Raw genomic sequence first — 19,556 nt, 5'->3', positions numbered from 1 at the left:
ATTCTTAAATGATGGCCCCTGCTCAAGAGTTACTCACATGGTAATGACTGACCGTAATAGCATAGGATGAATGAAGTTCTATCAGCAACAGGTATAAAACACTATGGAAAAACACATGATTCATTCTGGTAGGGGCTAAGTGGAGGATGGCTTGGTCTTTGAATAATGTGTTGAAGCTTACCCTATCCAATTGATGAAAGTCATATCAGACAAAGAGAAAATCATAAAAACAGTAAGTAGATGTAAATATGTTTAAGAAACACCACTTACCACTGTACCCAGAACACAGAGAAGTTGGAGTGGGATAACCTGGGGTGGTTACATGGTTTTCAGTATCTGTTTGGAAGAAGTTTAGAATTTTCTCTGAAGGCAATGAAGAGACATTGAAAACTTTTTAGTAGGGGAAACAAATAGATCTATGCATTAGAAAGATAGGTATGGCTGCTTTGTTTGTAAAGGTATTCAATTCTCCAGAATAAGGAACTAGTGTATGATAAAATATGAGGCAGAGATGATGAGTACCTTAGGTTATAACAGTGGAGATGGAGAGCAGGAGACAGAGCTGCAAGTCCGTCCAGAGAGAACTCTCAGGAAGTGATCCATAAATATGGGTGGTGAGAAAGTGGGAGGCCAAGGCCAACTGGCAGTTTTCAGTTTGAGTGATTGGGTGGATTGTAAAACCATTAATATAGATGAAGAATCTAGGAGATAGTTTCTTTTTTGGGGGGACACAAAGATTAGAAGGTGTGAAGAGTATGAACTTGATTCTAGATATGTGTTTGAAGTGACACTGATGTGTTGATTAGTGATAAGGCCATATTTATTAGAAATAACATAGAATATGTTTCTGAGTTTAGAAATTTGTGTTAAAGTTCCTGGTCCGTAACTCACTAGTGATATGATTCTGAATAATTTCCTTGATTCTCTCATCTGTAATTCATGAGTAATAACTAGCATATAACCTTGGGGTGGGGTTAAATGTGATAAGGTATAAAGTATATAGTAAATAAATAACTAGTACTTAGTATAATATTAACAACTTATTGGCCGGGCGTGGTGGCTCATGCCTGTAATCCTAGCACTTTGGTAGGCTGAGGCAGGTAGATCACTTTCAGGAGTTTGAAACCAGCCTGGCCAACATGGTGAAACCCCATCTCTACTAAAAATACAAAATATTAGCCCGGCGTGGTGGTGGATGCCTGTAATCCCAGCTGCTTGGGAGACTGAGAAAGGAGAATAGCTTGAACCTGGGAAGTGGAGGTTGCAGTGAGCTGAGATCATGCCATTGCACTCCAGCCTGGGCGGCAGAGCAAGATTCCGTCTCAAAAAAAAAAAAAAAAGAAAAAAGAAATTATTTTCTCCTCTTTTTCTTGATTTCAAGTTTCTTCAACTATAGAATTAGAAATTAGAGAATTTACTCTTCTCACTTAATCCTGTTATTATGAAGATTAAATAAAACAATCTCTGAACAAGAAAAATGGAGACAAATTTTAGCAATTAAATAAATAAATTATAGGTCTTTTAAAGACAAACATGCTAAAAGTATACAGTTACAACAGCAACTAACTTTTATTGCATTTTTATGACTTGACAGACACTATGCTAAGTATCTTATATACATTATTTCCAATACTCACACCAATCACAGAGAGTAGATACCATTATTATAACAATTTGACAGAAAAAGAAGCTGAGGCCTAAAAGGTTTGATAAGATCAACAGCTCATCAGTGGTGGAGTTGGGATTTGAATTAATGCTTTTTCACTTTAGACACCAGGACTAAAAACTATTTCCTTTATTACATCTGAATATTTAGCTTTTGTTAACCTAGACATTCCTGAAATATAAAAATTCTTCCTGCACACATAGTTAGCCTGGTGAACAAATTCTAACCACCCAATTCAAAGTATTTAAGTTGCTAAGAATGTCTTCAATTTTATTGACACTTTGATCCATCCATTACCTAACTTACATTTTTTAATATTCGATCCCTTTTTGACTATTTAATATTTTATCCCTTTTTAGGAGCTATATTAATCCTTTTGTTAGGCTGATAAATACACCACAACCTAAAAATTTATTGAGAAAGACCTTTGAAATACACATCACAAAGTTTCAGACTCAACCAAGTTTAATTGTCCTCAGTCATTGAAAACAAATTCTTTGATTTCCTGTAAAACTTCGTTGAGTGATGGAGTATAATTAGAATGATCTGAATTTTTAAAAATGGGGATTAATAAAGGACTTGAGAATGTTTTACTGGCAAATCTCAGGATGCAAACATATCTTGTGTTCATCCTATAAATTGCACAGCCAAACTGTTCACTGGGAGGAGAAAACAGCAGCAGCAGCAACAACAACAACAACGAATATGTTGTTCTTGCTATGCTCTGTAACACAAAGCACTGGAGGTTTATAAACCCATTGAAGGTATCTATTAGTCCCATCATAGAGATTTTTTAGGTGACTTATGTTTACGCAGAACTCTACATTTTATGAGATTACTATGTAGTGATTAAACTTTCCTCCTTTTGCCCTTTTGACTTGATGGAAAAAAGAAAGTTCATGTTTGCTGATTCTTATATGACTAACCAATAACCTGAAAGAAGGTGTTTGGAGTTTGCTTCTTGCAAGCAGGGTCCATTTAATGATATCAGTTTGTGAAGCATACAGATGCATCATTCCAATATGTGCAAAATTCTCAGTACAGTACCTGGTGTATAGAAAATGCCCAGCAGGTGTCTGTGACCATTTTCTTTTCTATTATTCTGTATTTACTTCCTGACTGTTTCGTGAAATATTGTCATTTTATTCAAAGAATGAAAAGAGAAAATGAAAGGAGGTAAAATTAAATGAGCAAACTCTACATGCTTTAGCATGTTTGGCCTCAAATTTTGGTAGGGGAAGAGATTAATATAAGGTTTCTGGACCATCTAAGACCTTGGTTGCTACATAATCATTGTTTCCTATTCTTTTTAATATTGCATCAAAAGTTGATTGAGGCTGCCTATCATTTAAAATGAGATAGAGAGCTACAACTATCAGGAATGAATGGCCTGCAATGGAAATTTCTTAATATGTACTCATTTGTTCTCTTCTTGTAGTCATTTTTTTTGGGGGCTCTCACTCTCCAAACCAACTATTGGACTTTGTTCTTTCATATCATTAAAATCTAATGTTATACACAGGAGCAGAGTAGACTCTTTTCTATGAGATTTGTTATTTAAGGATTCTATGATGAAACAGACTTCATCAAAAAATAAGGTGGGGTGGTAGGAAGTTGAGCATATAGTTTAAGAATAGAGACAGCAGCTTGAGACCAGGGAGAGAATTCTGCAATTTTGAATGGAGGAGGGAAAAAGCAGCTTGGAGTGAATGGGAAACATCAGGGAGTCAATCAGACTGCACAGGAAATGTCCAGGAAAAGATGCTTGTTCTATCTGCTGGAACTAACTGCCCATGCCATACTGCACTGTGTATTTGCTTAGTGACCTGGCTTTTGTGAGTCTTGCTCAGACTATTGGAATCATGTGGAGGATATTGCAGCAAACATTTAGGTCCAGTGATGAGTGGGTATGAGATCATCATTAGTATTAAGTATTTATTAAGTGTGTAGTAAAACTATAGATTTCATCATAGAAACTCAATTTCCCTATGGATCTGATTGATGCCTTGTAATTTTTCATTGTTTGAAAATGTGTAACACTGCCTTGTGAGCGGAAGTAGCCCTTCTGTGAATTGAAAATGAAAATCCAAAATACCATAAAAGCTATGATGTGGGCAAGAAAAAAAATCACTTTATCTATAAAAAGATGAGCCTTTGGAGCATTTAGCAGTTTTCTCCTTAAAAAAAAAAGTCCCTTGGATTGAAATAAAATCTACCATTGTCTTCTGGTTTTATTCTAACCCAAGATTAGAAAAAATAACTTTTCACAAATTTGCAGTTGCTTAATCTACATAAGTTTGTATCAGATTCTTCTGTTTATCTTGTCAAACTTGTAAAATTGAGTTAGATTCAACTTAATATATATAGATAGCTAGATCTATAGGGAAGAAAATAAATCTTAAGTGTTTTTTCTCTTTTAAGTGTTTATGTTAATCTGAAATATTTGTAATATATTATCAAAGTTAAAATGTTATTACATAACTGAATGGAATTGTCACATTTTCTTCACATAGATATACTTAATATATATAACATTTATATTTCGTATAATATATAAATATTATCATCCAAAAGCTTTCAAAGAATTTTTATATTTCCTTATTTAATCATCCATCATCAGCTATGATTTATCTTTATCACAAGGACAATTTGATGCATGAAAAGCTTGGATAACCTTCTATGAAATTTTAAGAGTTATAAGTGGGGCTGAAAATTGACTCATAGAATTTGAGAAGAGAAAGAATGTTCTTGGATGGAAGATTAAATGATTTGACCATCATCTTACAACTAGTTATTATCAGCGGAACTCAAATGTCTTGACTTTCAGTTTTGTGTTTTATCCTCTGTACTGCATTGATTCCTACGGATTTTTTTTTTAAAGAATTCAGTCCATGATTCTGCCCAGTTGTCTGGCCATCAGGAATGGATTGAAACCAAAATATGTGCCAAGAGTTTCATTCAACATTTGTTCAATAAGTATTTACTGAGTAGCTACTGTGTAAAAGCTATTGTTTTAGGTGCTTTGGATGAATCATCAAACAAAAAAGAAAAAATTCCTACCTTCATGGAACTTAAAATAAAATTAAAGCAAACTATATCTTCAAAGAAGGTATCCTTGGCTTTTTCTAAAATGCATCAACTTAAGATTTCTGACCATTACGTCATTGGAACTTTGCCTGAATATGGAGTATTTCTTAAAAGTTGTCATTTTATTTAAAATGACTATTCTCAGAGGTATGACTGAGCAGTTGCTCAAGCAATGTCAATCTTCTGATAGAATTCTAGAGTATGTCTCTTCCTTCCTCATGTCCAAACATAAATGAAAATAATTTTTTTGTATCCAAATCTTTATGATTCCATTTTCCTGGAAATGCATATAGGGGTATATATACAAGTACACATCCATATGTATCTTATTTTGAAATCTTCTGTAAGTATTTCATTGATCAACTACAAAGCACTGTGCCTCTAAAATACTTTGTACTACTTTTTTTTGTATTTTTAGTAGAGACCAGGTTTCACTGTGTTAGCCAGGATGGTCTCGATCTCCTGACCTCGTGATCCGCCTGCCTCGGCCTCCCAAAGTGCTGGGATTACAGGCGTAAGTCACCGCACCCAGCCCACTTTGTACTACATCTTAACAACATCATATTCTTTCCTGTATTACACTCACTTGCATAAATATGTTTCTTACTCTATTATAACTCTCTCAAGATAGTAAGTAGTAAGGGCCAGAATGTTCTCATTGAATTATGGTTGACTTGTTTTAACCCTTCAACTGCCTATATTCTAACAGTAAAAAATAAGCTTTTAAGATTCTTTATCTTAGCACTTGATTCTATAAAAGGCGTATCACCTTTATGGAGACACTTACTGGCTAGAGTTTATAATTAGAATAAGGAAAAGAAAAACCTTGTAAGCCATATACAGCATATAATTATTATGATCTTAAACGTATGGTTATAAATATAGACGAAAATACACACAAAAAAGAAAACATCTGTTTCTGGGAAGTAGAAAATGGCTTTTTTTCCATGCAAGTTTCTTTGAACACTACAGCAAATATATTTTTAAAAGATAGTTAGCAGTGCTTAAGTAATGCTCCAGTAATACAACAAGGGGAATATAAGGGCTCTGAAGTGTTTAGTTTCAATTCTTCACTAGTCAGTTACTCTAAAAAAAAAACACCTATTACAGCATCAATACAGGCATCAGGGAGAAAGTTATCCATATTACTTCCATTAACCCAAAAGATAATTAATATTGAGAGAGTGACAATAAAAAACCAACTTTAAAAACTAAAACTGAGAAAATACTTCTCCTTCCACTCCCATACCCCATAAAGTTCCAACAGGACAAGAATTTAAAAAGAGCCAATATAGTCTTTAATTAGTTATTTTAGTATCTATGTCCAATATGGCAAACACGGAATGAATAGAAATAAAGCCTTCCACTTTAATTAGACTTTTCAAAGGAAGTGATGGAAAGAACTGACTGCAAAGCAGAGCTATAAAGAAGACTCTTATTGAATAGTTAGCAGGAAATCTTTTAATTATTGAAGCTGATAAAGCACTCTGTAAAGCTTCTTTATCTAGTTGAGCCTGAATACTTTTCACTGCATACTTTTTAAATATAGGTAAAAAGAATTCCAGCTCTATTTTGACCCTGACTATGCGTTTTTAGTAATGATCTAAAGAAAAAAATTTGCATTGATCTAGAGACCCTTTCTTTGAATACATTTATAAAGTTCTGTTGTGTATATTAAATTCCTTAGATTTAAGCAATAACTTTTAAATTCATGTTGAAATTGAAAAGAAATTGAGTAGATATAAGGCATGCTAGAATGACTAGTATTAGTGAAGGAGGGAGAGCTAACTTAATATTTAAGTATGTATTGATTTTAAAAGGTATATCATATGTATACTTTCATTATAAATGTATATATAGCACATATATTTACATACATATTAAATATATTTATACTTACATATATATTGTAAGTAATAACTGTCCATTTTAAATAGATAACATTTAAAAGCTGAATTGAGTATGACTAGTATAAAGTGGATTCCACTATTACAATTATTGTCTTTTTAAGGAGTTAAGTGCTTAATATATTCTGTTGACAATAGTGTTGAAATATTTAATTATGTCCCTGCTATATTTTGAGTAATTTGCTCACAGATTACAGAACTGGCACAGCTGACCTAGAGGAACATTTCTGAACTCTGCCCCCTGCTGTGTTTTGGCTCTGCAATGATAATTCAATTTTAATACGTAATTATTTTGGAAATATCTAGCAATGCTCAGGATAGTTGTTTCCCTCATCTTTTCTATATCTTTTATCCTTAATTCATGTGTGTATGTGCATATGTAAACACAGTTCTGACTGTGCTGCCTACAGGTTTATATACACATATTTACTCTTATATACCCAAGTACATGCATACTTAAATGGTTCCAGGTAAGCAGAATTATATGCAGCATATAAGTGGGCACATATCTAGGAAATAAGAAGGTTGAAAAGATGGCAAAGTATCAATATGATACTGAATGGGCAAAAGCTGGAAGCATTCCCCTTGATAACTGGCACAAGACAAGGATACCCTCTCTCACCTCTCCTATTCAATGTGGTATTGGAAGTTCTGGCCAGGGCAATTAGGCAAGAGAAAGAAATAAAGATACTCAAATAGGAAGAGAGGAAGTCAAGCTAGCTTTGTTTGAAGATGACATGATTCTATATCTAGAAAACCCCACTGTCTCAGCTCAAAAGTTTCTCCAGCTGATATACAACTTCAGCAGTCTCAGGATACAAAATCAATGTGCAAAAATCACTAGCATTCCTATACGCCAGCAACAGGCAAGTTGAGAGCCAAATCATGAATGAACTCCCATTCACAACTGCCACAAAAAGAATACAATATCTAGGAATATTGCTAACTAGTGAAGTGAAAGATCTCTACAAGGAGAACTACAAGCCACTACTCAAAGAAATCAGAGATGATACAAACAAATAGAAAAACATTCCATGCTTATGGATAGGAAGAATCAATATTGTGAAAATGGCCACACTGCCCAAAGCAATTTTTAGATTTGATGCTATTCTCATTAAACTACCATTGACATTCTTCACAGAATTAGAAAAACCTATTTGAAAATTCATATGGAACGACAAAAGAGTTTGAACAGTCAAGACAATCCTAAGCAAAAAGAACAAAGCTGGAGGCATCATGTTACTGGACTTCAAATTATAGTATAAAGCTACAGTAACCAAAATAGCATGGTACTGGTACAAGAAAAGACACATAGACCGATGGAACAAAATAGAGAATGCAGAGGTAAGACTGCACTCCTACAACCATCTGATCTTCAACAAACCTGGCAAAAACAGGCAATGGGGAAAGGATTCCCTATTTAATAAATGCTGCTGGAAGAACTGGTTAGCCATAGGCAGAAAATTGAAACTGGACCCCTTCCTTACACCATATACAAAAATCAACTCAAGATGGATTAAAAATTTAAATGTAAAACCCAAAACTATAAAAACTCTAGAAGAAAATCTAGGCAATACCATTCAGGACATAGGCATGGGAAATGATTTCATGAGGAAGACACCTAAAGCAACTGAAACAAAAGCAAAAATTGACAAATGGGATCTAATTAAACTGAAGGGCTTCTGCACAGCAAAAGAAATTATCCTCAGAGTGAACAGACAATCTAGAGAATGGGAGAAAATTTTTGCAATCTATCCATTGGACAAAGGTCTAATATCCAGAGTCTACAAGGAACTTAAACACATTTATAAGAGAAATACCAACAACTCCATTAAAAAGTGGGCAAAGGACATGACAGACACTTTTCAAAAGAAGACATACATGTGGCCAACAATCATATGAAAAAAAGCTCAACATCACTGTTCATTAGAGAAATGCAAATCAAAACCACAATGAGATACCAACTCACACCAGTCAGAATGGCTATTATTAAAAAGTCAAAAAACAACAGATGCTGGTGAGGTTGTGGAGCAAAAGGAAATGTTGGTGGGAGTGTAAATTAGTTCAACCATTGTGGAAGACAGTGTGGCAATTCCTTAAAGACCTAGCGGCAGAAATACCATTTGACCCAGCAATCTCACTGCTGGGTATATACCCAAAGGAATATAAGTCATTCTGTTATGAAGATACATGCATACATATGTTTGTTGCAGCATTATTCACAATAGCAAAGACATGGAGTCAACCTAAATGTCCATCGATGATAGACTGGATAAAGAAAATGTGGCCCATATAAACCATGGAATACTATGCAGCCATAAAAAGGAATGAGAATTATGGTCTTTGCAGGAACATGAATGGACCTGGGGGACATTATCCTCAGCAAACTAACACAGGAAAAGAAAACCAAACACCACATGTTCTCACTTACATGTGGGAACCGAACAATGAGAACGCACGGACACAGGGAGGGGAACAACACACACTGGGGCCTGTTGGGGGTGGGGGAGGAAGGAGAGCATCAGGAAGAATAGCTAATGGATGCTAGGCTTAATACCTAGGTGATGGGATGATCTGTGTAGCAAACCACCATGGCACATGTTTACCTACGTAACAAACCTGCACATCCTGCACATATACCCCTGAACTTACAATAAAAAAAAATGAAAAGATGGCAAAGTATAAGAAAAAGCATATGAATACCAACATAGATTGAGGATGCAGTATTAACTTTTACAAATATATGGATGGAGAAAATGGAAACATATGAAGAGTTTTGGGAAAGAACAGGTGTGAATTAGTTAAGCTGGAGTTTTGAGTGAAAAAGTTTGATACTAGTAAATTAGGACATTCACCAGATTTGCTCTTGAGGATTGTAAAGTAAAACTCTTGTTTTAGGGTTTATTTATTCTTTTCCTTGGTAACCCTATCTAAAAAAGCACCCTGCTTGTCACTCTCTATCCCAATAATCTATTTTTCTTACAACCTAACATTATATAATCTTTTTTTTTTGTAATGTACCTCCCTAGAACAATATAAGCGCAATCAGTGCAGGAATTTTGCATGTCTTTTTCACCATTGTATCTTCTCCACTTAGAATAATCAATGGGAAATAGTAAGCACTCATTAAATATTTGAATGCATAAATAAATAAATAAATAAATAAATAAATTCCACATTTAAGATCTCTGTCAAAGTTATGAAGTCCACCTGAACTCCCCAACTATTTTTTTAAAAGGCAGAAAATGAACAACAACAACAAACAAACTGTCAGGATAAGACTTTAAAATGTCAAAAACTGACAGCCCAGAATTCTGGAAACATTGAAGGTACTCTAGGCTAGAGGTGAGCAACTGGTTGTAAAATGAACTTATATTATTTACTGAAAAAGAAAAGATTATTACACATTCTGTTCCAACTTTAAAGAAGTAATACCTTGAGAATCATTAGAAATTCATTGTCTAACATCTAAATTATTTGGAAAGAATTTCCCAAATTTTAATAAGTTGAACTCATTTCAAGAACCCAAAAGGTAAAAACAAAACATAACAAAAAACTCTTATATTCAGGAAAATGGCTCATATACAGTTCTATGTAATTGTAGATAAATTGGCCAGGTGGGAGGTAGGATGCGATGTCACAGATTTTACATGTCTTACTGACTTGCATACTGGATACCTATTGTATCTCTTATACCCTTACAAATTGGATGGAAGAAGCCAGCTGTGTAAGTGGAAGCCTTTTAGAAACAAATAAAAAACTTATAATAAGAGTTCAAGCAGTAGCGTTTACTCAGTATCACATAAATCGTGGAAAATTTAAGGTTATTTTCAGCCTTGTTAAAAACTCAAGGCATCATAAATCAATGTATTTTCATCTCACACATTATGGAAATAAAATAATTTATTTATGTATCAGTTGAATACTTTCACAGGCATTTATTCTGAATTACGTACCACGTCAGGACCAAGGTTATAGATTTAAGTGAGAGATGGTTTATGTCCTCATGAAATTTATAATTTTGGGGAGGAGAAGGGGTGAAACCAGAAATTAATAAATAATTACATGAATAATCAATTATTTAAAATTATTTTGATTTTTAAGAAGGAGAATTATAAAACATTATAGCACATATAAAAGTGGGATATAACTCAATGGGAATGGTTAAGACATTCTTTCTGCAAATTACATTTAAGCAGAGATACAATCTGTACATTAAAAATACAACTATGATGATAGTGTAATTTGTTATCTACATGGAAGAAAATCTTATAATTGCATCACTATTTCACAGCACACTAAAAGATAGATTCCAAGTAGATTAAAGATAAAATGTGAAAAAGAACAGAAATAAGAATATTTGGAGAAAAATATATAAGATAGGGATTGATTTCTTAAATAAGAAAGAAATATAAACCATTATGAAAAGATTGGCAAATTCAATAAAAGTAATAATAAAATTTGAACTTCTCTGTGTGAAAAAATATTGTAAATATGTAAAAAGTTAAGCCAAAAATGGTGGAAGATATTTGTAACACATGAAAACAACAAAGGAATCTTATCCCTAATGTATTAAAACAACAACAACAACAAAAAAACTGAAAAGCTCTCAGAGCACAGGCAGAGCAAGATGGCTGAATAGAACCTTCCAGCAACTGTCCCCACCATAGGAATACCAAACGGTACAACTATCCACACAAGAAAACAGCTTCATAAGATTAAAACATCAGGTGAGCACTTAGAGTACCTGATTTTAACATTGTATCGAGGAAAGAGGCACTGAGGAGGGTAGGAAAGACAGTCTTGAATTGTCTACACCACCACCCGCCCATGCCCCAGCAGCAGCCATGTGGTGCAGATGGAGAATGTGTGCTTGCAGGATGGAAACAGCACTGATTGTGGGACTTTGCACTGGAACTCAGTGCTACCCTGTCATGGTGGAGAGCAATATGGGGCAGAATTCAGCTGGCGCACACAGAGGTAGCATTTAGACCATCCCTAGCCAGAGGGGAATCATCCATCCCACTGGTCAGAACTTGAGTTTTATCAAGCCCCACCACCGTGGGCTGAAGTGCTCTGGGGTTCTAAATAAGCTTGAAAGGCAGTCTAAGCCAAAAGAACAGCAATTCCTGGGCAAGGACTTTGTCTTGCAACTTGGATACCAGCTCAATCTCAGTAAAATACAGCATAAACGGAGTCTTGAAGTCCCTATTCCAGACCCTAGCTCCCAGACAACATTTCTAGACATACCCTGAGCCAGAAGGGAACCCTCTGCCTTTAGGAGAAGGATTTCCTCCTGGAAGGATTCATCACTTGCTGACTAAAAAGCCCTTGGACTTTGAATAAACATCAGCAGTAGCCAGGCAGTACTTGGCACAGGTGTTGGGCAATACCCAGTACCGTGCTGGCTTTAGGTCTGACCCAGTGCATTCCCAGGTGGGAAAGCCATGAAAATAGACTCCTTCTACTTGACAAAAAAGGAAGAAGGAGTATAAAGGACTTTGTCTTGCAACTTGGGCACCATCTCAGACACAGTAAATTAAAGCACTAAATCCCTGATTCCAGGCCTTAGCTCCTGGACAGCATTTCTACAGCTGCCCTGGGTGAGAAGGGAACCTGCTTCTCTGAAGGGGGAGATTCAGTCCTGGCAAGATTCAACACCAGCTGACTGAAGAGCCCTTAGGCCTTGAATAAACATCAGTGGTAGCCAGGCAGTACTCACCATGGGCCTGGGGCAGTGGTGGCCATGGGGAGAGATTCTTTTTGCTTGAGGAAAGGAGACGGAAGAGTAAAAAGGACTTTGCCTTGCAACTTGGGTACCAGCTCAGCCACAGTAAAATAAAGCACCAAATAGATTTCTAAAGTTCTCAACTCCAGGTCCTGGCTCCCAGACAGCACTTCAAGACCCACCCTGGGCCAGAAAGGAATTTGCTGTCCTGAAGGAAAAGATACAAGCCTGGCTGTACTTACCACCTGTTGACCAAAGAGCCCTTGGGCCTTGAATAAACATTAGTTGTAGCCAGATAATAGTTGTTACAGGCCTTGGGCAAGACCCAGTACTATGCTGGCTTTAGGTCTGGCTCAGCACAGTCCCAGTGATGGTGGCTACAGCAGTGCTGTGTCACTCGTCCCTCAACATCAAGCAGCTCACCGTAGAAAGAGATACTCCATTCGTTTAGCGAAAAGTAAAGGAAGAGAACAAGAGTCTCTGTCTTGTAATACAAGGAAATTTCCTGGATCTTACCCAAGGCCACCAGGGCAGTACCTCTAACAGGCTGCAAGGTCACAGCATTACTGGGCTTGGGGTGCCCCCTAATGTATATATGGCTGCATTGACCGAAGATTTAAATCACAACATTCAATTCCTTTGAATACTTGGAAAACTTTTCCAGGAAAGAGGGGTACAAACAAGCCCAGATCATGAAGACTACAATAAGTACCTAACTGTTCAATGCCTAAACATTGACAAACATCCACAAGTATTAAGACCATCCAGGAAAACATGACCTCACCAAACAGACTAAAAGGCACCAGTGACCAATCCTGGAGTGACAGAGCTTTGTGACTTTTCAGACAGAGAATTCAAAATGGCTGTTTTAAGGAAGTTCAATGAAATTCAAGATAACAGAGAAAAAAATTCAGAATTCTATCAGATAAATTTAACAAAGAGATTAAAATAATTAACAAAAATTAATGAATTCTGGTGCTAAAAAATGCAACTGACATACTGACACACATCAGTCTCTTAACAGTAGAATTGATCAAGAAGAAAAAAGAATGAATGAGCTTGAAGATAGACTATTTAAACATACAGTCAGAAGAGATAAAAGAAAAAAGAATGAAGCACACCTAAGAGATACAGAAAATAGCCTTAAAGGGGCAAATCTAAGTTATTGGCCTTAAAGAGGAGACACGGAGTAAGACTAGGGTAGAAAGTTTATTCAAAGGGACAATAACGCAGATCTTTCCAAACCTAGAGGAAGATATCAATATTCAAGTGCAAGAAGATTATAGAACATCAAACAGATTTAACCCAAAGAATACTACCTCAAGGCATTTAATAATCAAACTCCCAAAGGTCAAGGATAAAGAAAGGATTCTAAAAGCCGCAAGAGAAAAGGAATAAATAACATACAAATGACCTCCAATACATCTGGTTTCACAGTGGAAAACTTACAAGCCAAGAGAGAGTGGCATGACATATTTAAAGTGCTAAGGAAAAAAGCCTTTTATCCTAGAATGGTATATCCCATAAAAATATCCTTCAGACACAAAGGAGAAATACTTTCCATGAGAAATAAAAGCCAAGGAATTTTGACAGCACCAGACCTGTCCTACAAGAGATGCTAAAGGGTGTTTTACAATCTGAAAGAAAAGGAAGTAAACAAGCAATAATAAATCATCTGAATGTACAAAACTCCCTAGTAATAGCAAGTACACAAACACAGAATATTATAACACTGTATTTGTGGTGTACAAACTATTTGTATCTTGAGTAGAAAGATGAAAGATGAATCTGTCAAACATAACAACTACAACAACTTTTCAAGACTTAAAACAGTAAGATATAAATGGAAACTACTGAAAGCTTAAAAGAAGGGATGAAGTTAAAGTGTAGTTTTCATTAGTTTCTTCTTTGCTTGTTTGTTTTTGCAATCAGTGTTATCATCAGTTTAAAATAATGGGTTATAAGATGTTATTTGCAAACCTCATGATAACCTTAAATCAAAAACTCTGTAACAGATACAGAAAAAATAAAAAGCAAGAAATTAAAATATGCCATCAAAGAAAAATCATTTCCTCAAAAAGAAGACAGGAAAGAAGGAAGGAAGAAGGAAAGAAAGGAAAGAAAGGAAAGAAGGGAAGACCACAAAACAATCTGAAAACAGATAATAAATTGGCAGTAGTAAGTCCTTACTTGTCAATAATAACATTGAATGTAAATGGACTAAACTTTCCAATAAAAAGACATAGCGTGGATAAATAGATTAAAAAAACAACATTCAACAATCTCTCATGTACAAGAAACACACTTCGCCTATAGAGATACATAGACTGCAAATAAAAAGATCGAAAAATATACTCCATGCAGATGGGAATCGGAAAAGATAAGAAGTAGCTATATTTTTATCAGACAAAATAAATTTCAAGACAAACCCTAAGAAAAGAGATAAAGAAGGTCATTATACAATGATAAAGGGGTTAATTCAGTACCTAACACTGGAGCATACAGGTAAATAAAGCAAATATTATTAGAGCTAAAGAGAGACATAAACCCCTGATACAATAATAGCTGGAGACTTCAACAGCCCACTTACAGCACTGGAAAGATTATTCAGATAGAAAATCAACAAAGAAACACTGGACTAGTGTTTCACACTAGTCTGCACTATGACCAAATGGACATAAGAGATATTCAAAGAACATTTCATCCAATGGCTAAAGAATATACATTCTTCTCTTCAGTACATGGTTCATTCAGTAGACCATAAGTTAGGCTACAAAACAAGTCTTAAAAAATTAAAATAATTGAAATCATATCAAGTATCTTTTCTGACAAGGATAGAATCAAACTAGAAATCAATAACAAAAGAAATTTTGAAAATTATACAAACATATGGAAATTAAACAATATGCTCCTGAATGATCAGTGGGGTCAATGAAGACATTAAGAAGGAAATTTAAAAATGTCTTGAAACAAATGAAAATGGAAACAAAACATACCAAAACCTTTGGAATACAGCAAAAGTAATACTAAGAGGAAGATTTACAGCAATAAGCACCTAAATAAAAAAGTATATAAACTTCAAATAAATAACCTAATGATATACCTTAAAGAACTAGAAAAGAAAGAACAAACCAAACCCAAAGTTAGTAAGAGGAAAGAAATAATAAAGATCAGAGTAAAAACACATGAAATTGGAACAAAAAATACAAAAGATCAATAAAAGAAAAAGATAATTTCTTGAAAAGATAAAATCAAAAAACTTTTAGCCAGACAAACTAAGAAAAAAGAGAGAAGAGCCAAATAAATAAAATCAGAGGTGAAAAAGATGTTGCAACTGATATTGTAGAAATTCAAAAGATTATTAGAGACTACTATGAGCAACTATATGCCAACAAATTGGAAAATCTGGAAGAAATAGATAAATTTCTAGATACATATAACCTACCAAGGTTGAAGCAGGGAGAAATTCAAAACCTGAATAGATCAATAACAAGTACTTAGTTCAAAGCTGTAATAAAGTCTTCCAGCAAAGAAAAGCCTAGAACCTGATGACTTCACAGCTGAATTTTATCAAACACTTAAAGAAATACTAATACCAATTTTTCTCAAAGTACTCCAAAAAATAGAGTAGGAGAGAATACATCCCAACTTATTCTATGAGACCAGTATTACCCTGAAACTAAGCTAGACAAAGACACAACAAAAAGGGAAAACTACTGGCCAATATCCCTGATGAATGCTGATGCAAAATCCTTAACAATACACCAGCAAACTGAGTTCAACAACACATTAAAAAGATGATTCATCATGACCAAGTGGGATATATTCCGGCGATGCAAGGATAGATCAACACACATAAACCAATCAATGTGATACATCATATTAACAGAACGAAGGAGAAAAATCATATGATATTTCAATTGATGATAAAAAGGCATTTGACCAATATTCCTTCATAATAAAACTCCCACAAAACTGAGTATAGAAAGAACATGCCTCAATACAATAAAAGCTATATATGACAAACCTACAGCTAATATTATACTGAATGGGAAAACTGAAAGTCTTTCCTCTAAGATCTAGATCAAGGCAAGGATGCCTGCTTTCACCACTGTTACTCAACAGAGTACTGGAAGTCCTTGCTAGAGCAATCAGGCAACAGAAAGAAATACAGGGCATCCAAATTGCAAAGGAAGAAATCAAATTATCCTTTTTTTACAGATGATATGGTCTTATATTTGGAAAAACCTAGACTCCACAAAAAACTATTAGAGGTGATACACAAATTTAGTAAAGTTGCAGGATACAAAATCAACATACAAAAATCAGTAGCATTTCTATATGCCAACAGTGAACAATCTGAAAAAGCAATCAAGAACATAATCCTGTTTACAATAAGTACACATAAGATGCAATATCTAGGAATAAACTCAATCAAAGAAGTGAAAGATCTGTAAAACAACTATAAAACAGTGATGAAGGAAATTGAAGAGGACATAAAAAATAGTACACAAATAAGGAAATTGAAGAGGATGTAAAAAAATGGAAAGACATTTCATGTTCATGAATTGGAAGTATCAATATTGTTAAAATGTCAATTATATCCAAAGCAATCTATAAATTCAATGCAATCCCTATCAAAATGCCAATGATATTCTTCACAGAAATAGAAAAAACAATGTTAAAATTTATGCGGAACCACAAAAGACCTAGAATAGCTAAAGTCATCTGGTGCAAAATGAACAAAACTAGAGAAATCTCATTAACTGACTTCCAATTATACTACAGAGCTATAGTGATCAAAACAACACGGTACTGGCATAAAAACAGACACATAGACTAATGGTACAGAATAGAGAACCCAGGAATAAATGTATACATCCACAGTGAGCTCACTTCCAACTTAGGTGCCAAGAACATACACTGAGGAAAGGACAGTCTCTTCAATAAATGGTGCTGGGAAAACTGGATATCCATATGCAGAAAAATGAAACTAGACCCCTATCTCTGACCATATGCAAAATTCGAATCAAAATAGATTAGAGACTTAAATATAAGACCTCCACTATGAAACTCCTAAAAGAAAACACTGGAAAAACTCTATAACATTGGTCTGCACAAAGATTTTATGAATAATACCTCAAAAGCACAGGCAACCAAGCAAAAATGAACAAAAGGGATTGCATCAAGTTAAAAAGTTTCTGCATGGCAAAGTAAACAATCAACAAAGTGAAGAAATAACCCACAAAATGGGGAAAAATATTTGCAAACTATCCATCTGACAAGGGATTAATAACCAGAATATATAGGGAGCTCAAACAACTCTATAGGAAAATATCGATTAATCAGATTTAAAAACTGGGCAATACAAAAATTAGCTGGGCATGGTGGTGGGTGCCTGTAATCCCAGCTGCTAGGGAGGCTGAGGCAGGGAGAACTGCTTGAACCTGGGAGGCGGAAGTTGCAGTGAGCTGACATCAAGCCACTGCACTCCAACCTGAGCGACACAGCGAGACTCTGTTTCAGGAAGAAGAAAAAAAAAAAGAAAAAAGAAACAAAACAACAACAACAACAAAACAAAAACTAGGCAAAAGATCTGAATAGACATTTCTCAAAATAAGACATACAAATGAATGGTAAACAGGTATGTGAAAGGTGCTCAACATCATTGATCATCAGAGAACTGTAAATTAAAACTCCAATGAGATACCGTTGCACCCCCAGTTAAAATGGCTTTTATCCAAAAGATAGGCTATAACCAATGCTGGTAAGGATGTGGAGCAAAAGGAATCTTTGTACACTGTTAGCGGGAATGTAAATTAGTAAAGCCATTATGGAGACTAGTATAGAGGCTCCTTAAAAACTAAAAATAGAGTTACCATGTGATCCAGCCACCCCACTCCTAGGTATATACTCAAAGGAGAGGAAAACAGTATATCAAAAAGGTGTCTGCACTCCTATGTATATTGCAGCACTAGCCACAATAGTGAAGATTTGGAAGCAACCTAAGTGTCCGTCGACAGATTAATTGATAAAGAAAATGTGTTACATATACACAATGGAGTACTATTTGACCATAAAAATTGAGATCCTGTCATTTGAAACAACATGGATGGAACTGAAGGTCATTATGTTAGGTGAAAAAAATCCAGGCACAGAAAGAGAAACTTCACATGTTCTCACTTACTAGTGGGAGCTAAAAATGAAAACGATTGAACTCATAAAGAGCAAGATGATGGTTACCAGAGGCTGGGGAGGGTAGTGGTGGGAAGAAGGGAAGTGGGGATAATTAATGAGTTCAAAAATATAGTTAGAAAGATAAAACACCAAAAGCAATGGCAACAAAAGCCAAAATTGACAAATGGGATCTCATTAAACTAAAGAGCTTCTGCACAGCAAAAGAAACTACCATCAGAGTGAACAGGCAACCTACAGAATGGGAGAAAATTTTTGCAACCTACTCATCTGACAAACGGCTAATATCAAGACTCTACAATGAACTCAAACAAATTTACAAGAAAAAAACAAACAACCCCATCAAAAAGTGGGTGAAGGATATGAACAGACACTTCTTAAAAGAAGACATTTATGCAGCCAAAAGACACATGAAAAAATGCTCATCATCACTGGCCATCAGAGAAATGCAAATCAAAACCACAATGAGATACCATCTCACACCAATTAGAATGGCCATCATTAAAAAGTCAGGAAACAACAGGTGCTGGAGAGGATGTGGAGAAATAGGAACACTTTTACACTGTTGGTGGGACTGCCAACTAGTTCAACCATTGTGGAAGTCAGTGTGGCGATTCCTCAGGGATCTAGAACTGGAAATACCATTTGACCCAGCCATCCCATTACTGGGTATATACCCAAAGGATTATAAATCATGCTGCTATAAAGACACATGCACACGTATGTTTATCACGGCACTATTCACAATAGGAAAGACTTGGAACCAAGCCAAATGTCCAACAATGATAGACTGGATTAAGAAAATGTGGGACATATACACCATGGAATACTATGCAGCCATAAATAAGGATGAGCTCATGTCCTTTGTAGGGACATGGATGAAGGTGGAAACCATCATTCTCAGCAAACTATCTCAAGGACAAAAAACCAAACACTGCATGTTCTCACTCATAGGTGGGAATTGAACAATGAG

At 35.2% G+C, this 19,556-nt stretch overlaps 1 protein-coding gene across 15 annotated transcripts in view; it reads right to left on the bottom strand.

The window, feature by feature from the left end:
- Positions 1-19,556, bottom strand: part of GRID2 (glutamate ionotropic receptor delta type subunit 2) — a 1,506,491-nt gene that overhangs the window by 87,196 nt on the left and 1,399,739 nt on the right. The window lies entirely within an intron of this gene.

This window comes from Homo sapiens, chromosome 4 (assembly GCF_000001405.40).
Source record: "Homo sapiens chromosome 4, GRCh38.p14 Primary Assembly".
NCBI classification, from domain to species: Eukaryota; Metazoa; Chordata; class Mammalia; order Primates; family Hominidae; genus Homo; species Homo sapiens.
The sequence above is the reverse complement of the archived record's forward strand: the minus strand, read 5'-3'. Positions and strand labels throughout refer to the sequence as shown.